This window comes from Homo sapiens, chromosome 5 (genome assembly GCF_000001405.40).
Source record: "Homo sapiens chromosome 5, GRCh38.p14 Primary Assembly".
NCBI classification, from domain to species: Eukaryota; Metazoa; Chordata; class Mammalia; order Primates; family Hominidae; genus Homo; species Homo sapiens.
Genome location: NC_000005.10, coordinates 23430550 through 23457569, shown reverse-complemented (window position 1 = coordinate 23457569; position 27020 = coordinate 23430550). Strand labels below are relative to the sequence as shown.

General features: G+C 35.9%; 1 long non-coding RNA gene across 1 annotated transcript; it reads left to right on the top strand.

Annotated features, from left to right (window-relative positions):
- Positions 1–303: 303 nt before the first annotated feature.
- On the top strand, positions 304–18519 carry LOC124901171 (uncharacterized). The gene is made up of 2 exons (XR_007059122.1): positions 304–389; positions 17501–18519. It is a non-coding gene; the product is annotated as an uncharacterized LOC124901171 (long non-coding RNA).
- Positions 18520–27020: the final 8501 nt, after the last annotated feature.

Genomic DNA, 27020 nt, shown 5'->3' with positions numbered 1-27020 from the left:
TAATCAGGTGTTTGTTATCACCTGGGACCAGAAAATCAGCCTGTTAATGGTGAGAATGGAAAAATGTTGTCTCTGCCTTTCATAAATACTAAAAGAATAAGGAGTAAAAATATCCTATCTAATGGCTTCTTCTCAGAGCAAAAGGCAATTAATAGCGAAATGAAGAAAAATTCCCAAACAGCTTGCCTGCTTACAAAGATAAGGGAATTCAGTATCACTTTGTGAGCATAGCAGTATTCTTCTCTGTGACCTCATACAATAAGAAGAGAATATTACCCAAAGTCCAGGACATCACCTGTCCAATTGTCATTACCATTCACGCCACTGCCTACTTTTGTGACACAGAGTTGTTCCTTGTGAGGCACCATGAACAGAAAATAAACCCAGAGGTAATTCTTCTCTCAGAGAGCAAAATCAGCAATCTTCCTGACTTTGGTCATGTCATACCAGTAGACTAAACAAGTCTTGACACCAAAAAAACCTTTTGACTTTTTCTGGCTGTAATTTTCTTCCAAGTTTTTCACTGAAACTTCTCAACAATTCCCAGTGACCTCTGCAACTAATCTTATTTACAGAGATGTTTTCTCATTATTTATAAAGAGAAATATGAATAGGGCAGAAATATGAATAGGCAGATACGTGGCATAGATCTGAGTAGTTGTGCACCAGTTTCTACTAGCAATGTTTCTTCTGGTTTCTTGTGGTAATGTCAAATGCCTTCAATTCCTCCAGCTGGCTCTGCAGATGATTAGTGCTCCCTTGGAGGAATTGAATGGTTTGAGAAAGACTAAGAACATTTCGCTGTGAAGTATTGTTGCCAGTCAACAAGGTTTGCTTATCTTTCTTCCAGCTACCTTGCTAGGACATCTAATTGTAGGTATAACTTTGTGAGTGGTCCACTTATATGCCACAGAACCTCAGCTTTTTAAATCAATTACTCAGTGTCCTGGAAGTGCTCGAAATTGGTTGTGAACCTCTGAAAAGAATCCTACAACTCAAGATCTAATTCAGTAAGATGTTTCCACAGACTGTCAAGCTGCAAATTTTGTTGGAGGTTGTGCTGGGAGATCTGGTGGTCACACCAGTGCTTTTCCTTTATCTCAAGTGCCTTCCCCACCTGCCAGGTCCATCACCATGTCAGTTGCATCTTCCAGGGAAGCAGGCTCCCAGTACTTTAGTCAGCCCCAGTGGCTGCCCCATGTTTCCCAACAGGCTCTTCCATGTCCAGTGAGAACTGATTTCGGAGGCCCTTCTCTATCTAAGCTATGCCTCATAGGTGTAAGTACCACATCTCTCCCCACAGCCTGGAAATTACCAATTGCAAGTGGTTTTGCAAACTATTTACCACAATCCTATTAGAAAAACATCAAAAATTAACTGCATCAGAAAAATTATAGAAAATGGTTACTATGTAGAACAATGGCCTGTGCCAGCTTGAGAAGTGATTGAAATCACTTCTCATATATATGTCACTCATGTCACTGCATTCCTGGTTCCAGGTAGTTTGGTGGACAACCTAAGGGGGGAATGAACATTTGCTCTTCCTCTCTCCATAATCCCTTTGCTGATGTTGTGTGTCTCATAAATCTTCTGCTTATTCTCCAAACCAAACAGCATACAAGTGAGTTTATAATTGTAGTTTAGAATATTTTCATAACAAGTAATAAATGTGTACTTTTATTCATACTGGATTATACTTTCTTTCATAAAATCATCTCCAGGAATTTATGACGTGGTAAAAAGGAAAGTGATTTGTAAGAATCTCTGGTCTTTTAAGTTAATTGACATCAAATAGCACTAAAAATCACCACAACTTGTAATCTATTGTAATCTACTGCATAGCCTTAGTAGGCTGAGTGAGGAGAATCCGAGACTGTGATAGGTGAAATTAAAAAGATAGATAGTTTTGTGACTAGAAGAGCTTTCTTAATACTTAAAACTGAGCGGGGAAGTGCCTAGTTTTGACTGATATTTAGACATTTTTCCTGGAAATGTCCTCAAATAATTTAAATTTTTAATACAAAAATACTTCTCACAAACTTCAAAAAGAAAAAATTTTGCTAGATTCAGGAAAATCTTGCCTGAAACTTTTAAGTTTTTTGTTTGTTTGTTTTTGTTTTTTCTCTCATGGAGATGGAACTAGGAGAGTAGAACTGAGAAGAGTTTTAAGAGATTTTGGTCATCCAGGTGGTTGGAAGCTAAAAATAGCCTACATGTCTATTTATCTTATCTTAACCAAAATTTTACTTGTTTTCCTTCTTAATTTGGCTTTCTTTTCAGCCTAAGGAAAGAATATCTTCTGCAGATAAAGTTGGGTAAGAAGAAGAAGGAAAAAATATAGTATTAGTGCATATTTGCAATTAACTTGCTGTCGTGAAGGTTAATTAATAATCAGGGAATTAAAAGCTGAGGAGAAGCAAGATTTTGTCAAGAAGCATATGGCAAAAAGCATGTGACATACAGGGTGTCTTAAAAGATAGCATCCTGGGAATTACCATCAGCAATAGAATAGAGTTAAAGAAAACTTCATTGCTTTACTTAACATGCATTTAGTAAAGTCCATCTCATTTAAGTCAAGGTTACTCAACCTTTGTGTATTGACATTCTGGGTCAAATAATTCTTTTTTTGTGGGGGTTGTTCTGTGCATTTCAGGATGCTGAACCACATTCCTGGCCTCTACTCAAGAGTTACCAATATTTCCCTCCCTCATACCCCTCTAGTAGAGACAATCAAAAACTGACTTAAACATGACCATATGTTCCCTTTGGTACAAAATCACTCCATTTGAGAACTTTTAGTAAAAAAATAATATGTGTTTTTCTCCAATTGGGTTTCTGCACATACAGAAGGAAAATTTGAAAGTATCGAGAAATCTACTTGCAGGAAAATTGACCAATCATTTTTATTTGTATAACCTTTTACGGAAGTATAATATACATACAAAAAAGTGCATATATCCTCAATGAACAGACCAGTGAATTTTAACACACTGAGCACACCTGGGAAACTAGCATTGAGATCAAGAAATAGAACATAACCCACAACAGTTGGTTCACCTTGTGCCCTTTCCCACATTCTACCTTCCAGGGGTAACGATTTTCCTGACCTCTAACAGCCCAGATTGATTTTGCCTGCCTTTGTCCTTTCTGTGAATGAAATCAGAGGGTCAGTAGTCTTCTGTCTGGGTGTTTTTCCTCTCAATATTGTTTTTATAAGATTCATTCTCCATGTGGTTTTACATTATTTTCATTAATGCTTAGTGTCAGATTCTATAAATGTAGCTCTATCTACATGCTATAAATAAGCATTTGAGTAGCTTTCTTTTCTTTGTTTATCATGAATGAAGCTGCGATAAATACATTTAGACAATGTTGTGTGTATGTGTGGGTGTGCATGTGCTGTGTGTATGTATAAATATGCTTCCATTTCTATTCAGCATTCACTCAGGAGTAGAACTGCTAGACAATCAGAAATGTGTTTGTCCACATTCATAGCCAATATACCTAACACAATGTACCAAAAAGATTGGCTTTTCCCCACTGTAACAGAGTGTTGTCTTTTTGATAAATCAGGTAAACACATGTATATTGATCTATTTATAGACTTTCAATTCTTTTCCATTACTCAGTTTGATATTTGTTATTGTGAGTCTTTCTGCTTTGTTCTACTTTGAGGCTGCCATGAAAATGTTTGCCTTCTAAAACACCATACAAATTTAGGAATCAGCTCATCAATTTACACACAGACATACAAACTGTATATTTCTGGCATTTTGATAATGATTGCATATACTGTACTCTAATTTATAGATCATTTCCATCTTTAAAATATCAAGTCTTTCCATCTATTTGTGTGATATATACTCAATTTCTTTAAGTATTCTTATATTTGTTGAGTTTTATAGTTCTCAAGATAGAGCCCTAAATATGTTTTCTTGGATTTATTTCTCAGCATGTTATATTTTTGATGCTGCTATAAATATATCTTTTCAATTTGTATTCAATTTAATTGGTCTGTTCTTATCTTTATTATTTATTTTCTTCTACTTTCTATAAACATGTTTTGCTGTTTTTTGCTTAGTTTCTTATGGTGAAATCTTAAGTAATTTAATTTTAGCCTATGTTTTTTGAAAATATATAGCTTTTATGGCCATGAATTTTTCCATAAGCACTTCTTTAGCTTTATGCCATTTATTTCAGTACATTATTTTCACTATAATCCACTTAAGAATATTTTCTAATTTTTGTTTTAATATTTCAGCCATTCTTTACTTAGAAATGTGCATTTTGTCATATGGTCATTACGCCAGCAACCCTAGAAAATTCACTTTCGGATTCTAACATTTGTCTTTAAATTATTTTGAATTTTACATAGTGTACCATCACATACTCTGTGATTAATAACAGTTTTTACCCTTCTTTTCCAATTCTTATGTTTTTCTCCCCCTATTGTTCACACTACAATGTCTAGGACCTTAACTGTTAGGCAATACAATCTAGTTATCATTCCAATCCCATCAAATATGGAGCTGGATTGGAATGGATTGCAGGCTTAGTAAGAATTTTCTGGTTTGCTGTTCTTTCTAGAGTGGTACCCACCTAGACTTTTGACTGTGAGTATGAAGGCACCCTCACCTCAGCCATGAAGGAAGATTCAGTGATACCCTGTGATATTCCCAGGCCATTTCTCCACTTGTCACCACACACTGCTGCAAATTCCAGCAAATATTTTACAAGGGATACAACAGTGAATACGTTGGAAGCACCACTCTTAGCATGTCTTTGTTTTCTGGGCATCTAATGACTACTGGAGATTTTATTCTGCCAGTTTGAAAGATTGGCCACTCTTAAGTCTTCTCTGTGCTCCAGAACTCAGGAAACTACCACTGATAATCTTGGTAGTATGCTTGAAAGCCCTTGAGATTTTAGTTTTTTTCTCCAGCCCTCCTCTAACACTTAGAGCTTTGCTGGCATCTGTCCCCTGGCAACGGACCTCTGCCTCAACTAAGCTAGACCTTTAGCTCCTGCCCAGGTGTGACCAGCGTCCCCAGGTTGGAAAAACTAGCCAATAACAATTAGCTCAATCCAGAAAGTTTCTTTTTCTTTTTAATTTTAGTTCAACAAGTCATGATCATTTCTACAGATCTTGGATACCACAAAAAAACCCACAATTCTTGTCATTTATGTGAAATAGTTTTCTGGTTCTTGAAACAAATATTGGCCTTCATCTTCCTACAGTACTCTTCTTTGGTAGCAGAAATCTCCCAATCACTTTTTTCTTAAATATTTCTGTCACTAAAGTGAAATTAATATAACAAAACCTATGAAAGAACACAATTTAGTGGCACTTATTATTTTCAGAATGGTGTGCAACTAGCACTTTTAATACTCCAAAAACGTTTTTATCACCTAAAAAGAAAATCTACTTATTAAGCACTCATTCCCACTTTCTTCCTCTTCACTCAAGCTCTGAGGACTACCAATCTGTCTAAAGATTAATTACTCTGGATACCTCATGTCAAAGGAATTGTGAAAGGAAAATAAATCTTGGGGCCCCAAAATCACTAAGTTAAAAGGAAAAGTAAAGCTGGGAACTGCTTAGGGCAAACCTGCCTCCCGTTCTATTCAAAGTCACCCCTCTGCTCACTGAGATCAATGCATATCTGATTGCCTCCTTTGCAGTGGATAATCAGAAACTCAAAAGAAGGCAACCATTTTTCTCTTATCTACACCTGGAAGCCTCCTCCCTACTTCAAGTCTTCCAGCCTTTGCTTCAAGTTGTCCCATCTTAATTGATGTCTCATGTCTCCCTAAAATGTATAAAATCAAACTGTGTTCTGACCACCTTGGGCACATGTCATCAGGACCTCCTGAGGCTATGTCATGGGCGCACGTCTTCAGCCTTGGCAAAATAAAGTGTGTAAATTAACTGAGACCTGTCTTAAATTTTGGGGGTTCACATACAAGTGACCTTTTTTACTTATTTTGTTAGCATATTTTCATTGTTCACCCATGCTGTATCAAGTATCAGAACTTCATTCCTTTTTGTAGTTGAATTTCATTGTATGTATATGCCAAATTATTATTCTTCTAATGATGGACATGAGTTACTTCCACTATTTTGCTATTGTAAATAATGCTGCCATAAATATCTTTGTACAAGTACTTCTTTGAATACCTGTTTTTGATTCTTTTGGGTTGATACATAGGAGTGATTCATAGGAGTGATACATAGAAGTGATGGGTCATGTGGTAAGTCTATGTGTAACTTTTGAAGAGCAGGCATTTTTTTTGTTTAACTTTTTTAAGGAAACAGTTGATTTGAAGTCTTTATCTAGTAAGCCCAAAGTCTGCTTCTGCAGGGACGTTTTCTATTAATTTATCCTGTGAAAGGATCATTTTATCTTGTTTCTTCAAACACTTTGCATTTTGTTGTTCTTGTTAAGAAAGAGGACTTTCTAAACAGTGTAATGTGCTAACTCTGGAAATCAAAATGATCCCCTTGTTCAGTGTTTTGTTGTTGTTTTTACCCTTGGCCTGGGATGTAGTTGTTTGCTTGTTTAGTTATTTTTATAACTGTTAAAATGACCGTATTCCTCACATACGGTCTCTAAAATCTGTTTCTTTAGCTTGTGGACAAATAGTGTTTGCTCAGAGATTTCTTTGAACATCGGAGACAATAATAATAATGATGATTTAAAAAACAGTGTTGGGATACGTTTTCAGCTTTCAGCCAGGGCCTCTACATATCTGTCTTAGCCTTTGCTTCCTGCTTGCATTGAGCCTAAAGATCTGCCACAAATGAAAGCCTAGGTCTTTTCTAAGCATGTATGCTTTCCTAGGCTTTCTGTGGTTTACTAAATTTTTAGTACAGAAGAGTGCTTTATAACTCCCTAATTCTAAGAGTCTCTCATCCTCATCCCACGTTTTCAGCATATCTCATTTGGCTCCGTAGTAACCATTTGCCCCAGGCAGCAGCAAATTGTTCATTTCCCTTTCACTATTTTTGAGTGATGCCCTCTGCCTAGTAGCTAGTTTTCTGCTCTGAGAGACTTCCAAATTAGGTGAAACAAAGACGAGCTTCTTGCTTCTGTCTTTCCGGTAGCCCCAAAACTGGTCAAAACAAATATGCAATTCTTTGAGAACAAGGTCTGCTCTGCTCCCTCTGGAACCACGGACTGGAAACACAGATCGCTGTATTTAAGGCTACTGCCAAGCTGGGGTTGGGGGCAGGGACAAAGGAAAGCTAAACTGCTGCAAAACTTATTTTCTAAATCCACTGATTCTTGATTCAGCACTTGCTTGCTCTAAACCTTTGAACCTTTGACTATTTTTCAGTTTCAACAAAGTTGATTGACAGTTTTTGATTTTTGCTTTTTGTGTGTGTGTGCATGTTGTTTCTGCGATGGGACAAGTTCTTGGAACTACCTGCTCTGCCATTTTCAGTGACTGCACTTCCTATTTTTGTTTCACCCAACTTCAAAGTCTTTGCCCTAGAGAGCTACTATTAACTTCTTATGAATCACTGCCCATTACTGACATGCAGTACCAAGGTTACTGTCTCCTAGCTCTCTCCTGATCCTTTCAGAATTCTCTAACAAATTTAAAGTGGTTAGTTGCATCTCCTCCCAACCATTTTTGAGTGCACAACTGGTACACACCAAACCGAATGACATAGTCTTACGACTTGGAAATGATATGGAAACCTATATATCTATATATCCATATGGAAATTATGTATACACACGGACATATACACTCTCACACACACAGTACACACATACTTGGACATTAATTATGACTGGCATACATACATGGAAAATATATATGACTGGCAGCAAGGAGAGTTGGTACATGCTATATTACTAAATATTTTAAAAAATTGTCTCAAATAAGATGATACTCTTAGCTGTCCTATTTATTCTTTGTAACTTTAGAGGACTGGGACATGAAAAGGTTTAATTGGCAACATATGCAGCAATTCCAACTAACTTTATTCAGTTTCTGAATCCCTGAAGGAGATTTGACTGTCAAATCTGTAGTAGTTTAAGAAGGAAACTTGAGTCACTCTTTCTCTTCCTCGTAGAGTAATGGCTGAGTTCAATCTGTAGAGATTAAGAAGGTTTAATAAAAAGAATAAAGATGCTGTACTTTGCATTATTTTTATTTAGGACATTCCAAAAATGGAGAAAAATTTTACTTTGATTAAGATATCTCTATGAGAACTTTAATGAAGGGAAGAAATTTATATTTAATCTGGGGTAGAGCTCAATTTACTGTCTGGGCTTTGCTATCATGAAGGAATCTATATATGACTTCTTCCTTCATATTAGTCTCTATATGAGTGGTTAGGTTGTTCAGTGTAAGTAAATAAACAAAAGAAGGCTCTCATGGTATCAATAAGGCACCAAATAGTTGTGTACATTTCTAATATAGTGACATCTGCACAATAATGTTTAACAAACTTTTTGGAAAAAGATAAAGCAAAGATGTCTAAAATTAGCAGCTTCTTTGCATAGAATGTAAATGCAAACCTAAAATTTTAGCAAAAACAATGAATTATCATTACAAGTTTAGTATCAAAAAGCTAGCTGTTACTTTTGTTAGAAGAAACACTTTAGACAAATTTAATTTAACAATTTAATTGCATAAAGAATGATTTGCAAATTGGGTAGCCCTTCAACCAGAAGAGAGTCAAAGCTACTCTGGCACTGGTGTCATAAGCATTTGAACCAGAATGACACCATCTTGAATAAGGCCTGGGTGAAATAAGGCTGAGACCTACTGGGCTGCACTTCCAGGAGGATAGGCATTCTAAGTTACAGGATGAGATAGGAGGTCAGCACAAAATACACATCATAAAGACCTTGCTGATAAGACAGATTGCACTAAAGAAGCCAGGTAAATCCCACCAAAACCATGATGGCAAGGAAAGTCACTTCTGGTCATCCTTACTGCCCATTATATGCTAATTATAATGCATCAGCATGCGAAAAGACACTCCCACCAGCACCATGACAGTTTACAAACGCCATGACAAGGTCAGGAAGCTACACAGTATGGTTTAAAAAGGGGAGGAACCCACAGTTCCAGGAATTGCCTACCCCTTTCCCAGAAAACTCATGAGTAATTTACCCCTTGTTTAACATATAATCAAGAACTAAGTATAAATATCCTTAGTCCAGCAGCCCAAGCTACTGCTCTGCCTATGGAGCAGCCAATCTTTTATTCCTTTAATTTCTTAATAAACTTGCTTTCACTTTATGGATTCTCCTCCAAATTTTTTCTTGCATGAGATCCAATAACCCTCTTTTGGGGTCTGGATCAGGACCCCTTTCCAGTACCACTGATGCTGAGTCAAAGAGGATTTATGGATAAAAAAAGAAAAATGATGTAAATAAATGGAAATGAGATACAGAAACAGCTCGATTGGTTACAACTTGGCGTTTGCCTTATTTGAACTTGGTTTAAACAGTTGGCTTCCTTTAATTGCCTGAAACTTGGTAATTGCTACAAGAGTAGGGTACAGGTTGTTTGTACATTCAGATTGGCTATAGTTTGCTTTTACAAAGAAATCTTTATGTCAATCTTAAAATATATAAGGAAGCAACTTTAGGCTAAATTCAATTTAACACTTTTTATAGCTTAATATTAAATGGGGCAAAGTTAATATCCTTAAGTCTATCAACTTCTAGATTGTTCTTCTGATCCATTATATTGAAAATACATAATAATAAATAGAAATTCACATTCATCTGAGTATGATGGAGGAAAAAACAAAATTTGGCTAGCTTTGCCCATACAGAGGCATCAACTTATAAGATTACATTTATTTCTGATAACAGTAGGGTCAAAGACAGACAGCTTCCCCTTTGTTCTATGAAGACTCACCAAAAATGAAGTGGCAATAGGCAGATTAATAGGAGAAAAAATATGCAAAATATATTTACCAAACATAACATGGAGGAATTACATGAGTATAATTACCCAATAACCCAATGAGGTCCAGATGTTTATCGGTTCTTCTTCTTAGGACAAGGGAACAGGAGAGGTATAGAAGTAAATGTATTTTAGGGAAAAAAGAATGAGCTCAAAGAATAATGACCTGGCACAAAATTTCCCTGAGGTCTGGGGGAGGTGGCAGGAAGGTGAGTGGCAGAACTTTGCTTTGAACAAAGGTCATCTTATTGTGAAAATAAAGGCCCTCAAGTAAACCCTTGGAGCAGCCCTTCGAGGAAGAGATGAAAAGTCTGTCTGGTCATGGTGAGGACTCCTAGCTTCTTCTCTTCGCTGTGGTAATTCTTTCCTGATTATTTGATGAGATTACTAGGAAAAGGGTCTTAAGACAATTGCATTTCTTTTAGAGACAGGCTTTTTTTAGTCAGATAAGAAATTTATTTTTTCAGAAAGAATTCCTCCATGTGCTTCAGGAAAGAAAGGATCAGAGATGGGAAGGGGAAGGTCTTAGAGAGACTTTGGTTCTGAGGCATATTTCTGAGACCTTTTAATTTTCTTTAATTCTAACACTCAAAATGCCAAAGCATTGTATTTTGAGGTATCATTTTCTGTGCCCCAACATAATCAAATTAAATCCTTACACCCTCAGCTTCAGGACTTGTAGTGGGTAAGGTGTTAGGGTTCTACCCTTGAAGCAATCAAAAGCAGTGTACAATACTTGATGAAGGTGCTTTTACGATATTATCAGAAACAGGCTTGAGATGGTTACAATCACATTGCAGAAGTTTCTAAATATGGCCCTAAGGTTCTTCTCCACTCTTCACATTGAGAGAGGGGTTTATATCTTCCCCGTCAGTCTAGGCCTCTATGGCCGCTTGGCCAATAGAATACGGGAGAAGCGACACTGTGCTGTGCCAATTTCCTGTCCAGACATTAAAAAAGCAAAACAAACAAACAACCCAGCAGTTTCAACTTTCTAAGTCTAAGGAATTCGTTCTTGGAATCCAGCCATGATGCTGTAAGAAGGCCAAGCTTCCCATGAGAAGTCCACATGGAGAGAAACCAAAAGCTATCACAAACTTGCCGGCTATGGTCACAACATGTGGAGGAGAGATGAGCTATCCCCATTAAGCCTTGCACAGATGACAGATTGCTAAGCAAAATAAACAGTTATTGTTTTAAGATACAAGATATAGATTGTTTGTTACGGAGCAATAGATAACAAGAGCACACCTACACATACGCACACACATAAATTTCTTATTATGTCTCAAACATATGTTGCTAAGCAAATTTACTTGAGAAAAAAATATGTTCTTATAATCTTGAATCTGAAAATGTCACCATAAAGAAATGCACTAAACTTGCAAGATAAATCACAAAATTCTACTAAATTTCTAACTGAATATTATTTTCCATTGAAATTAATGTACAAAAAACATTAATTTCAACATATTATCTGCATAAGAAAGACCTTTATATCAAGTATCATGTAGAAAACCCTTGTACACTCAAAGAATGTTTATTTGGTATATTATTGAGATGGTTTTTCAAGTTAAAAACAAATCTACTTTCCTTGCAAGTTAACATTGGTTGTCTTTAAGTTTGGTTGAGAATTATCTGCAAGCATGTAATAGTTGTATTTTGTTGTTCCATTTGAACGTCTTCAGTGACAGCAGGATTCTCAGATCTCTTGTGTGACATCTTGTTTTTATTTGGCTGGAGAGTAATAATAAATGTAGCTAATAATTTCCTTTTCATAGCCAGTATTTGTAACACACTGCTCTGTGCTACAATTACTTTTGAAGCACACAATTGGAATGTAAGAACAACTAATCACCCCTAGATTGCATCATATTTGTTCTATTTTCAATGAAAATCACATGACACATTTCTGTACCAATTCTTTAAATGCCTTTCCTACCAAATTCTCTGTTTATAACCATTTGCAACCTGATATATGTATCAGCAAATAATGCAAGTGGAAAGGTAGTTACATTATTATTAACACACTCTTATTCAACATTCAAAAGAAACTTGGCTTGTCTATTCATGTTCATTTTCATGCTTCATCTGATATTCATGATACAGAATAATAAATTTAATATCAGTGAACATATTTTTGCCTAAAAGAATAAAAATCAGAAGAAATTGCTCACTAATATATATTCTAGAAGTAATTCTATATCTAGTCCCAAGAGCTTGAGGAAAATGAAAGCAATTTTTTAATTTTCAATAGTGACAATGAAACAATCATTTGAACAAACTTATTGATCAGATTTTAAATTTCATGTGCTCTTCCATAGATTTCACAGTTTAAACATTCTTCTAATTCTTCAGTGAAGATAGATGACAAATTTAATAGCATATATTTTCCTTTTTTATTAAAAAATTATTGTACATGCTGCAATAAATAGCAACATTGATTCAGTGAAATGAAAATGCAATATATAAAATATCTTATTTTTATTGAAAGCTGTAGTAGTTATATTTGACATACAATGTAACACATATATTTAAAATTACAGCTTGATTTTTTTTTTTTTTTTGAGAAGGAGTCTCACTCTGTTGCCCAGGCTGGAGTGTAGTGACGCCATCTCAGTTCACTGCAACCTCCGCCTCCTGAGTTCAAGCGATTCTCCTGCCTCAGCCTCCTGAGTAGCTGGAATTACAGGCGTGAGCCACCCGCCTGGCCACAACTTGACATTTTTTTACACATGTATATACAGGTGAAACAATTATTCCCATCAAAATAATAAACATAGCAACCACCTACAAACTTTTCCTCCTACCCTTTTATTACTTCCTTCTTACTCCGTTCCAGATTCCTCCAGAAAACTAATGATCTGCTTTCAACCACTATAACTATGTTTCATTGTCTAAAACACATAGTTTATTTTATTTATTTATTTTTGTGACGGAGTCTTGCACTGTCGCCCAGGCTGGAGTGCAGTGGCACAATCTCGGCTCACTGCAACCTCCGCCTCCTAGGTTCAAGTGATTCTCCTGCCTCAGCCTCCCGAGTAGCTGGGATTACAAACCCATGCCACCACACCCAGCTAATTTTTTGTATTTTTAATAGAGAAGGGGTTTCACTATGTTGGCCAGGCTAGTCTTGAACTGACACCGTGATCCGCCCACCTCGGCCTCCCAAAGTCCTGGGGTTACAGGCCTGAGCCACCACGCCTGGCCTAAGTATAGTTTATAAGAATCGAATTGTACAGGATACGCTTTCTTCACATATTTGTCTTTTTAAAAACTTGTAGCTATCTTAGTGCGTGTGTGTATATGTATAAATGCTGGTATCGAACTCTGGGTCTACATTTTTCAAATGACTAATGACGTTGAGGAACTTTGCACATGCATATTTAATAGTCATCCGTAGATCTACTCTGGTGAAGTGCTTGTTGAAATCTTTGGCCAGTTTTTCATTTGGTTGTTGATTTTCTTATTGTTGATCTTTGAGTCTTTTATGTATTCTGGATACAAATCTTTTGTCAGATATATACTTTGTAAAGATAATTTCCCAGGACATGGCTTGCATTTTTATTATCTTAAATTTTTACTTTTGATATGTGTTTTAGTCCATTTTCACACTGCTATAAAGATACTACTGAGGCTGAGCGCAGTGGCTCATGCCTGTTATCCCAGCACTTTGGGAGGCCGAGGGGAGTGGATTGCTTGAGGTCAGGGGTTGAAGACCAGCCTGACCAACATTGTGAAACCCCCTCTCTACTAAAAATACAAAAACATCTGGGCGTGGTGGCGGGCGCCTGTAGTCCCAGTTACTCACGAGGCTGAGGCAGGAGAATCGTTTGAACCTGGGAGGAGGAAGTTTCAGTGAGCCAAGATCGCGCCACTGCACTCTAGCCTGGGCGACAAGGCAAGACTCGGTTTCAAAAAAAAAAAAAGAAAAAAGAAAAGAAAAAAGAAAAAGATGCTACTGAGACAGGGTAATTTATAAAGGAAAGAGATTAAATGAACTCACAGTTCTGCATGGCTGGGAGACCTCAGGAAACTTCCAGTCATGGCGGAAGGCAAAGGGGAAGCAACTACTGTCTTCACAAGGCAGCAGGAGAAAGAGAGAGAGCAGGAAAAACTGCCACTTTTAAACCATCAGATCTCCTGAGAACTCCCTATCACGAGAACTCCCTATCACGAGAACAGCATGGGTGAACCTCCCCCATGATTCAGTCACCTCTCACCAGGTCCCTCCCTTAACACCTGGGGATTACAATTCCAGATAAGATTTCAGTGGCGACAGAGCCAAACCATATCCATGTGTATGATTTATCAACATTTTCCTTTCATGGATCTTGTTTTTGTTGACATATATGAAAATTCTACTTAACCAAAAGCCATAGGATTTTTTCACCTATGTTCTCTTATGTATTTTTTATAGTTTTATCATTGACATCTAGCTCTATGATTAATTTTGAGTTTTTTTTAATGTAAGTTTTGCTTTGGTTTCTGTATTGTTTGTATTTTTTGCTTATTTGTTTATAGACATCTAATTTTCCCAGCACAAATTTTTTGTAATGTCTATTTTTTTTTTTTTTTGCCCTTAAATTAACTTGGCATCTTCGTAGAAAATCAATTGACTGAAAAGGTAAGCCTTTATTTCTGGACTCTCAGTTATACTCATGGACCTATTTGATTATAATTTTGGTAATAACACGCTACCTTTATTATTCAAATTGTACAGTGTATTCAGACTTAAGGTGGTATAAGTCCTCCAATTTTTTTTTCAAAGTGGTTTTGGCTAGGCTCAATCTTTTACATTTCCACATAATTTTTAAAATCACCTTGTCATTTTCTATTATAAAATAACATGCTGAGATTTTGATAGGAAGTTCATGTAATCTACAGAACAATTTGAGAAGAGTTCTCATCTTAACAATTCTGAGTCATTCCATGAACATGAGATACCTCATCATTTGCTTAGGTCTTCTGTACTTTCAGCAATATTTTGTAGTTTTTAATTGTTGTTTTAAATATATTTTTATTGTAGCTTCTAATGTAAATGTGAATAAAGCTTTTTTCTGAGATTTTATTTTTATGTCTCTTATTGCTAGAATTCCAAAATGCATTATTGTACATTAATTTTGTATCCTGTGATTTTTGCAAACTGTATTTCTTTGTTTTCTTTCTGAGTGTATGTATTCCTTAGGATTTTCTATCTATAGGATTATGTCATTTGCAAAAAATAACTATCTTACTTCTCCTTATTACTATGCATGCTTGTTATTTAATTTCATTTTTATCATTTTATTTTTGCCATATAACACTGGCTAGACTCTTAGCATGACATTTAATAGAATGGTAGGAGTAGACATTTTTTACTTTTTCTCTATAATAGGAAAAGGGGTTTTCAGCCTTTCACAACTAAACATGATATTAATTGTCATTTTTTTGTTTGTTTGTGGTATGTGTCCTTTATCTAGTTGAGAAAGTTCACTTCTATTTCTTAACTTTGAGAGTTTTTACTATGAAGCAGTGTTAGATTTTCTTCAATTATCATTTTTTTGTGTCTTTTAAGATGATTATGTGTATTTTTGTGCTTCACTCTCTTAATACACCATACTAATAAATTTATAGACATTAAATTACCTGTTCAGTTCTTGAATTAACCCCATTTGGTATAGTATATAATTCTTTATTTGTTTCTTTCTTTTTTTTTTTTTTGACAGAGTCTTGCTCTGTCACCAGGCTGGAGTGCAGCGGCACGATCTCAGCTCACTGCAACCTCCCCCTCCTGGGTTCAAGTGATTCTCCTGCCTCAGCCGCCTGAGTAGCTGGGACTACAGGCACATGCCACCATGCCCAGCTAATTTTTTTGTATTTTTAGTAGAGACGAGATTTCACCATGTTAGCTAGGATGGTCTCAATCTCCTGACCTGGTGATCCGCCCACCTCGGCCCCCGAAAGTGCTGGGATTACAGGCATGAGCTACACGCCCGGCCAGTATAGTATATCATTCTTATATTATGCTGAATATAATTGGCTAATATCTTAAGATTTTACGCATTTATGTTTATAAGGTTATTGCACTATGAATTACTTTTCTTGTGATTTTTTGTTTGGTTTTGGAATACACTAACCTCTTGGAAATGTGATTAACACTGTCCCCTTCTCTTCTGTTCTCTAGAAGCGTTTGAGTAGATATGGTATTTTTTCTTCTTTAAATATTTGATGAAATTTACCAGAGAAGCCATCTGGGCTGGCCTTATGTTTTGTTGTTGTTGTTGTTGTTGCTGTTGTTCTTTTCTTGAGAGGTTGATTATGCTTTGGGAAAGATTTTTAATTTCAAACTTTTTTACGGATGTAAGTTTTATTCAGGTTTTCTATTTTTTCTTGAATTAGTTTTGGTAACTTCTAACTTTGTCAGACTTTGGGTGGATTAGACTCGATATTGGTTAGAACCTAATAAAACCTTGCTGCAGTTTCATCAGAGGTCCACTCATAGTTTGTCCTGAAAGTTGGGAGAGGAGAAATTCTCCTAATGAGCAAATCTTTGGTCATTCACGTTATATGGAAAGAGAAGCAGACTAGTGACAGAATGTATGCAGAATCATGGGGTGTGGCAAATAGCTTAGCAGGTTTTTGGAAAGTCTGCAAAAAAAAAATGAGACTAAGAACAAGAATGTCTGGGGAACCACATGTCAATTAACCTACAGGAGTGGACATGATATATGATCTTTGTAGTATATGATAATACCCAACAAGAGGCATGTGCCATTGACAATGCACTAAACAACCAGACAGAAACAATGACTCAGCCATTTGATGTAAGAAAGTCTCAATGGCCCCTTTAGTCCTGAAAGGATAAGTGCATAATAATAAGGTTGTTATAGTGGCAAGGGTGGTCATGAATGAACCTAGTGACATAGATTCCAACTCACTAAGGCTGACCTAGCTACTATGGCTTCAGAATGTCCAATATTCAAACATAAAAGTCCAATTCAGAACCCATGATATGCCCTCATACATGAAGAGACCACATGTACTCTATAGTAGCAAGTTAATTACAGTGGAGTCCTTTGACACCAGAGGTGAAAACATCAAAACCTATCCCAGGTTCAGTTCCTGCCTTCAGGGTCTCAATAAGCATTATCATTCAAGGAATTACAAGTTGATATAGGACTAGCACAGCCTCAGAACCTACTTTAGAGCAAAACAGTGTATCAGTGTAGTTTACTGTGGCATCAACTACTTCTGTTATACACACATACGCACACACACATACACACATATGCACCCCACCCAGAAGCTGTTAATCAGAGAGAGAAATATAAATGTAACAGTCCATGAAAAGCACAACTGATGTGCCTGTTTAAGGATAATACTCTGGTAAGGTAGAACACTGTATTTCAAAACGCAATATATCCCCTAAATCAATAGCTCTCATATGGTGCTAGGATAAAAAAGTTGAGATATATGGATTTGATAGCTGAGAGTGGTTCTCAGTAAGTAACTGAACTTATTTTTATTTCCAGCTACCCATTTAAGAGGTTTTTACTTATTTCTTTTTTTTTTTCCTCAGAGATCTGGGTTCCTGTGGAAGAAGACTTTCACCAGAGTACACAGCAAGAGTCCCTTTAAACTTCAATCCTTGGCTGTTGTAGGTATACTTCAGGACTTGTTGTCAAAATACCAATAATCAAGAGAAGGTGTCACAATCTTAGTAGTAGTAATTATCTTGATCATCATAAAGAGATAGAAATGTTATGCAGTGAGGTCAGAAAACAACATGCTTGATACTCATGTCCTCCCTGAGATATCTCTTGGCATTTTCTTACCCAATTTTATTGTTTAATGCTCATGTACAGTAGACTGAGGGAAGCATGAAGACCTGGAGTTCAAACCCCCTTGGGAGTGAATAACTTCTTGGTCAACTTACGAATAAGACCCTAAGCCAGTGAAGATCCTTGTTAAAATTGACGGGAATCTAGAACTGGTTTTTAAAAAAGAAAAAAAAAGAGAGAGAGAGAAGCAAATTATGTCTTCAAGACCAGCTACAGTGGTGATGTTGAAGTTTTTTCCACTAAACTTCCTGTTGCAATTTACCCCAAGAAATATGACCAGTGCAAATCTTGAATGAAGAGTTTCTAAAATGTATTACATAAAGTATGTGGAGCTGAAGAAAGCAAAAGGTTGGACTATAATGGATGCTCTTTTGTGCCTCCAAGATACACCCTTCAGTTCTGAGGCTTTCATTTGTCCGCCCCCTGAGAGTATTGCTGCCTGATGTCTTTCTCCTGAGCCTTGAGACTTATGAATTGTCCTTGGGCAAAGGGAGCTGCCTTACCAGAAGAAACCTTCTTTCTCTAGGACACTCCTTATCAAATGGCTATTGATATGATAGTATAAATGCTTGTGCCCCTATATCAAAGCAGAATTCTAAAGAACCATTTTAGCAGAGCTGCCCAAGAGATTGGCCAAGGCCTCCTTGAGACTGTTTCACAGTTCAAGTTCTTTTTCTCAATCTTAATTTTTTTTATTTCTCAATAGGTATTAATCCTGAGAACTCTCCTTAATAAAATTATTATGTGCAAATTTTCATCTCCAGATCTGTTTACTGAGAAACTTTGCTATATCTGAACACAGCACATAACCAAATCATCACTCTATTCTAATCAATAAACAGAAAATAACAATGGACTATTTCCTCTGCTAGCATATCTGATAGGGCAATAGTGTATTCGGGTTAAAATATTATAAATTTAGACATTATAGGTCTAAATTTTAGATAAATTATAGGGTCTATTTATTCAAAATAAGAGGTTCAATACACTTGTGATTCTGTAATCATTATCCTACTTCATAATGTGGCTCACTAATGCTGATCACATGGGGACAGTGGGCAAGAGTAAGCAAGACGTGTGCATTTTTATTGGCACTACTGGAAAGTAATCAAAAAGGTTATATATTAATGTTTTATGTCTCGTGGAAAAGTTACACATACGTTTTTGAGAGAAAATTTAAAGGGCAAACATGGTAAAAATAATTTAAGAAACAGAAACACTGTGGGAAATATGAGTTGCTGTATGTATTTAAAAATATAATTGTACAAATATGTAATCACCCAAGGGGTTCTTCCTGCACACTGCACAAAAATCAATTGACTGAGACTGTAGTATTGCAGAAAATAAAGAATTTAATAGATGCAAGGACAGCCATGCAGGAGAACTAGAGCTATCACTCACATCAGTCTCCTCAAAGGCTCAGAGGTTAGGGTTTTTCAAGGATAATTTGATGGGCAGAGGGCTAGGGAATGGGGAATGTTAATTGTTAGCGTAGGGGATACATTCACTGGGGGTCAAAGTGGGTTTTTCTTTCTGCTTTCGGTTCCTGGGTGGGATCACAGAACTAATTGAACCAGTTTACCGATCTGGGTGGTGCCAGCTGGTCCATCAGAATGCAGGGCCTGATGAATGTCTCTAACAACAATCTTAGGTTTTACAATAGTGATGGTATCCACAGGAGCAGTTGAGGAGGTTAGGAATCTTGTGGCCTCTGGCTGCATGACTCCTGATCCATCATTTTTAATCTTGTGGCTAACTTGTTAGCCTTACAAAGGTGGTCGGGTCCCCAGCAAAGAGAGGGTTCATTTCAGGAAGGGGCTATCATCTTAGTTTCAAAGTTAAACTATAAGGTAAATTCCTACTATGGTAAGCTCAACCTACACCCAAGAATGAACAAGAGCAGCTTGTAGGTTAAAAGCAAGATGGGGTCAGTTAGGTCAGATTTCATTCACTGTCGTAATTTTCCTATGTTTGATTTTTTCAGTGTCATAATTTTTGCAAAGGTGTTTTCAAATACACTTTTCTTTCTTCAACTCATAAATAGCAACTGGACAGCTGAGTAAATGCACTAGGATTCTCCAATTAACTAATCCCTTTATGTGGTCCATTCCCTGCCAAAAAGCTCAAGTTTTCTTATATAAAATAATTCTCCCAGAGTTTTTGAGATTATTCTAATAAAAATTGTAAATAAAAAATTATTGTAAACGATAAAATTGAAAGTCGATATCTCGTCCCTTTAATCCCACTTAATAATCAATTTTTTTAAAGTTTCAAAAATCATTTGCTAACTATGACTTACTATTATTGTTTTTATTTACTAAAAAGTTTTCAGGTTGTGCTTCAGTCAAAAAAATACAACCTACTGATAATACACTTACTGAATTCGTAAGTATTAGAGTCTAGGTCATTCATGTAGCTATACTAATAAATAGTATGGATTTGATAGAGAAAATGCTAACCAATTTATTCTGGTGGGGGAAAAAAAAGAAGTCTTTGGTTATGGAGCATTGAGATAATTAGGGTGGAATTGGCAATACAGGGGATGATGCTTCAACTTCAAGTCCCTTGAGTGCAGAGCACAGATTGAACAGCTGTTGGCCAGAATCCAGGAGGTCAAAACTGGCCAGCTGTATCTTTGGCCAGCAGTGTTGAGTGGTACTCCATTTCTCCAAGCACAAAGGGCAAGAAAAGGTGAGGAAGTCTTAGCTTTTCAACTGAAATGCATGTGGAAATTTCCCCAGTGGATGATACCTTCCTCTAGATGTTAAAGCTCAGGGCAGGCAGATGGTGGTTCTGTCAAATAGCTTGCATTAGAGACTCCATTCTTTTGAGAAAAATACAAACTTAAATTTTAGAGACATAGTACTTGATATAGGTTACCACTACATTAAATGACTGCATGATTTAGAGATGTTTGATGTCAAAGCATTTTAAAAATAAAACCATAAATTATACAATCTTTTACAAAGTGAGTTAGAAGCTTTATTTATGAGGATTGTGGTAATTAAAACAACTGAATTACAAGGAATTGCATCGAAGGAATTTTTCTGTGTTGCTTTTTAGCTTGTTTTCTGGCAGGTGTCATGAGATGGTCAGATAAATGCTCTAGTATATTATTCAATAATTATTAAAACATGTACTGCATAACAAAAATAATAAAAGGAAGCTCTGAACACCTATGAGTTAGTGTAAAAAGTAATATTGGTCAGCAGGAGTGGTTACTCAAAGCAAAGCAGCGATGTACACTCAAGCAATATTTAACAATAGGGAAACCTGAGAAATGTATCGTTAGGCAATTTTGTCATTGTGTGAACATAATAGATTGTACTTATACAACCTAGACAATATAGCTTACAACACACCTGGCATATACGGTATAGCATATTGCTTCTAGGCTACAAACCTGTATGGTATGTTACTGTACTGAAGACTGTAGGTAATTGTAGCACAGTGGTGAGTATTTGTGTATCTCAACATAGAAAAGGTACAGTAAAAATCATAGTATAACAGATAGAAAAACATACACCTGTACAGGGCACTTACTGTGAATGTAGCTTGCAGGACTGCCAGTTGCTCTAGTTTAGTGCATAAGAGAGTGGCAGGTAGATATGAAGGCCTGAAATTCTATGGTAGATGTCATTAACAGTGTACACTCAGGGTATATCAAGAAATATTTCTTCAATAATAAATTAACATTATCTTACTGCTATGTTTTTACATCATAAGCTTTTAAAGTTTTTAACTTTTTGACTCTTTTTAGTAACATGTAGCTTAAAACATAAACACATTGTATAGCTGTACAAAATATTTTCTTTATATCCTTATTCTACAAGCATTTTTCTATTTTTAAAAATTTTTAGTTTATTTTTTCCTTTTAATTTTTTTGTTAGAAACTAAGAAACACACACACATTAACCTTGCCCTACACTGGGTCAGGCTCTTCAATATTACTGCCTTTTACCTCCATATCTTGCCCCACTAAAAGGTCTTCAGTCACAATAACAAGCATGTAATGATTATCTCCTATGATAAAAATATCTTCTGAAATACTTCCTGAAGGACCTGCCTGAGGCTGTTTTATAGTTAACTTATTTATACCCTAAAATAACAATGAAATGTATAGTATATTAAATACATAAACCAATAGTATAGTTAGTTCTTATCATATCAACTATTAAGTATTGTACATAATTGTAAGTACTATATACTTTTATATGCCTGGCAGTTCAGTAGGTTTTTTGTACAGCAACATCACCACAAACATAAGAGTAATTCATTGCACTGTGATGTTACAAGGACTATGATGCTACTAGGTGATAGGAATTTTTCAGCTCCATTATAATCTTAGGGGACCACCATCCTACATGCAGTCAGTCATTTACTGAAACTTGGTTACATGGCACACGACTGCATTTGAAGCCAAGACCACAGCTCATCACAGGCAGCTGTGGAGTATGAATTACCCATCATAATTGTTCTGTCTTAAGGCAAATATGCTGGGAGTTTATATCTTTTCATTCTCCAGTCATTGGATATGGGCAGTTGCCTAAAAACTGGCATGACTTTGGGCAAGGTTGCTCTCTTGGGCTAAAAGAAGCTTCTTGGAGAGCGTTTCATCTGAGACGTGTCATTGACCAATGTTCTCCAGGTCCAGGTCCAGTAGTCTTATAAACCCAGAGAATCTATTGTGCCAGCTTCAAAATAACTTAAAATACAATATAAAAGTTTAAGTACCACTGTGACATGAATTATAAAAATATTGATATAACCCTTTGATTATTTAGTATAGATATTTTGCAATTTAACAATATACTGTTTGATGTATTTTTTTAATTTGCCAAGAATACTTAATGTAATGAGTATGAGCAAAATTTTTCTATTTTCTCTCAGTGCTGAAAGTCTATTTTCTGTTGCATTAGAAGAATATCACATTTTATGTGCTTTTTTTTTTTTTTTTTTTTTTTTTTGAGACAGAGTCTTGCTCTGTCGCCCAGGCTGGAATGCAGTGGCGTGATCTCGGCTCACTGCAAGCTCCGCCTCCTGGGTTCACGCCACTCTCCTGCCTCAGCCTCCCAAGTAGCTGGAACTACAGGCACCCGCCACCACGCCTGGCTAATTTTTTGTATTTTTAGTAGAGACAGGGTTTCACCCTGTTAGTCAGGATCTTCTGACCTCGTGATCCGCCCGCCTCGGCCTCCCAAAGTGCTGGGATTACAGGCATGAGCCACCGCGCCTGGCTTTTACGTGCTATTTATTTGTGATCAACAAATACAAGTGGAAGACTACATAGCAAAGTGGGAATCAGTATTGGAAATATATTTGCAAATAGATAATGGAATCCATGAGAGTAAATATTCAATAGGAATAAAATATATTATGAGAAAACATTGTAATCCAAAGCTTGGTGGATATTTCACAGCTGGTAAAGAAAAAACAAAACAAAACAAAATACATCAGAAGCAACAACAAAGAAAAATAGACTCATAAGTGGCCAAAGGTATAATTAAGCTAGCAAAAAAATAATGGTTTTGTGAAAACCAAGAGAGAAGAAATTTATATAGTTTATCAATAACATCAAAAATTACAGTGATGTCAAGTAGAATTCTTACTGAAAAAAAGACCTTAAATGTGCAGATTACAAGGATACTCATCCCAAATATTCAGGGTCACTCTGAAAGTGGTAGTGCTGATGTGACAAAATAGGGCTAAATTCAGATATGTCTCGGACGTATTTTACTATCTTCTATGAGGTAAGCAAAATTCAAAAAATGGCCCCCACCACATTTTTTATCATTATTATTGGGAATGCCAATATAACGAAAATCACGCTATTGAATATGTTAACATACAAGGCCACAGGGACTTAGAGAATGTAATTAAGTGTACTAATCAGTTGACACTTATGATCGGGTAATGACCATGGTCCAATGTAATCACACGCGCATTTGAAAAGCAGAGTTGCCAGCTGGTAGCAGAAGAGGAATTCAGAAAGATTAAAGTGTGAGAAAGACAAAACACATGGTTGTGGACTTTGAAGACAGAGAAGGTGACGTGAGAAGTACAGGTGGTCACTGCTGGCAGAGAGCCAACAAGGAAAGTGGAACCTTTAGATCTCCAACTGCATAGAACTGGATTCTGCCATTGATCTGAAAGAATCTGGAAGTGGATTCTTTTCCAATGTCTCTAGATAAAAGTTTAGCCTGATCAACACCATAATTTCAGCTTTGTGATAACCCCAACATAGAATTCAGTTGAGGTCACCCAGACTTGTGACCTGCAGGACTGTGAGCTAATGAATGGGTGTTGTTTGAAGTTATTAAATCTGTGGAAATTTGTTTTGCAGCAAAAGAAAAGAAATATACCCCTCTTACTTAAGGAATAAATCTATCCCAAATTTGTGAGTAGCATCCCCACCAACACACACATGATTTTTCTGGAAGTAGATATTAGAAATTATTCTTTCAAGAAAAATGAACATTTTCTTAATGAGACACAGATATATAACCATTAAAGTCAGCACATGATTGAGGGATGGAATGAATCACATTCTGAACTATTGCTTCTGATGAGCATGTGTATTTATGTATACTTATGCACAACTACATTCAAAGCCTAAATTCTCATTCATTTCTCATATTAAAAATTGGTGTGATCTCTCACTCCTGGAACTTCATCTGGATTTATTTCTGACCCTTGTTATTTTATATTATATATTATATATTACACACATTTGCTTAATTGGAATTCTAAAAACCTGAATTCAAATTTCAGTTTCAATAGCTATCAACTATACACACTTCAAGTTACTAATTTGTATCCTCACTGTATACCAGGTTGCTTATTTACGTTATTCAAAGGGTGAGACAATATATCAAAGACCACTTAGCCTAGTGTTTAACACTTGATGTATGCAAATATTATTAGTAGAATCTGAACTGTGTCAAAGATAAGAATAATGATTTAGTCATTACTGTTTCCTCTATAATATTTGCCAGATTTTATTACATAAATGAAAAGTTCACATATTTTTATCTCAGAGTGTTTGGCAAAAACAATATTCTTATAAAGTTTTCATATATAGAAAATAGTCTGACTTACATGAAAATGCAAAACCTTTAAAGAATGTACATGTAATAAGTTCATATATATTTGTATATGTAGTTATACAAAACTTAAAGAGACTAGAGAAACTTGGAAACAATATATTTGGATTCCGGCTGGAGAAAAATATCTACAAATGACTGTTTATTGACAAATTGTTGAAATTTGAATATTGAGTACAGATAATTTTTTAGTTTCTGATTTTGTTAACTATACTGTAGCTATTTAAGATAATAAGCTTACTCTTAGGCTGAGCACACTGAAGTATTTAGGGGTTAAGGGTAACACTATCTCCAACTTACTCTCAAATGATTTAAGAAGAAAAATAATATACGTATATGTATAAATAAATAGATAAATAGAACAAAACACAGAGAGAGAGAGGGGATGATAAAACAAGTGAGACAAAAATATAAGCAGCTAGTAAATTTAGGTAAGAGTATCTTGGAGATTCTTGTACTAATCTTGCAACTTTTCTGTAAGGTGAAAATATAAAATAATGACATATTTCATAAAAAACAGAGTAGTATGCAATAAATGTATAACTTTCTAATGTATAATGATAATTGATATGAAATTTCAAAACAACTTACTAAGGTATAAAGGTAATTGATATGAAATTTTAAAAGACTCATTATTACAAACATTTCACTTAGTAAAATATTATAAATATGAAGATTAATACAAAATATAAAAATTTTAAATGCTGAAGACATCTGTTACAATATACAGTTATGCTGTAATAAAATGTGATAAAACCCATAAAACCTCATAGCATTTTATTAATGCCTTAAAGCTTCTATCATTTAAGATGTATAATTATTTGATGGGGTAAATCAATATGAAGTCCTCGCTGCACTAGTAGTCATTTTGGAGAAGTTGCATTAATAGTGCTACACCTCCTAGTCTGCCAGCCACGATAATTTTTTTGTTGTTGATGTGAGACAGAGTCTCATTCTGTCTCCCAGGCTGGAGTGCGTTGGTGAGATCTCCACTCACTGCAACTTCCACCTCCCGGGTTCAAGCAATTCTCCTGCCTCAGCCTCCTAAGTAGCTGGGATTACAGGCGCGTGCCACCACACCAGGCTGGTTTTGAACTCCCGACCTCAAGTGATCCTCCTGCCTCGGCCTTCCAAAGTGCTAGGATTACAGGCTTGAGCCACCGTGCCCAGCCCAGCCAAGATAGTTCTAAAGTCATAGAGGAACTTAGAAAACTAGTCAGTTAAGTTACATTACATCAATTTTATCTGCCACTTAACAATACCTTTCATACTTAAGTTTCTATAGATAAATGTTCTTAATTCTTAACCCAAATTTTTCAATAACAAATGTATTTTCCAAGGATATAACAGAACTATCTAATGTCAATGACTATGAAAGGTTTCTAAGGAGCAAGAGTTGAAAGGGGTGGCAATAATAATTACTTCCAAAATATTAATTATAATCCTTTTGTAGATATTTCATCTTAAAGTTGAATTATGCCAGCCATTAGACACTGAAGTATGATATTAAACTTTTTTTTTGGTCATTGGCTTAACAGTATTGTACCTTCAATTTGTATCGCATTGCTATTTGAAACTAGTCTTGCACATTAAGAGAAGCATTTTACTGTTTTCATTCAGCACTTCACATGAAAAAACATACTGTGCTAAATTTGTAAAAGCCTTATTTTTTATTTTTTCTTTGGATACTCACCAGAATGATCAGATCTGATTTTGACACATGCTTTCATTAACAGAGTATACATTTAAAATGTATATTGCTCCATGCACATGAACCTCTGCTTTCTTTTTACTCATTTTTAATTTTTTCTTTACTAATTTTGTAACTATTTTATTTCATGGCGACTGCATGTAGTTTTGTAAGCTCTATAAAATCTGTTTTTTAAAGAGATGAAGCAGGCTGAGCACAGTGACTCACCCTGTAATCCCAGCACTTTGGGAGGCAGAGGTGGGTGGATGCTTTAGGCCAGGAGTTTGATATCAGCCTTGGTAAGATGGTGAAACCTCATTTTAGTCTCTACTACAGTTAAAAAATTAGCTGGACATGGTGGCACACACCTGTAATCCTAGCTACTTGGGAAGCTAAGGCAGGAGAATTTCTTGAACCCAGGAGGCACAGGTTGCAGTGAGCCAAGATCGCACCACTGCACTCCAA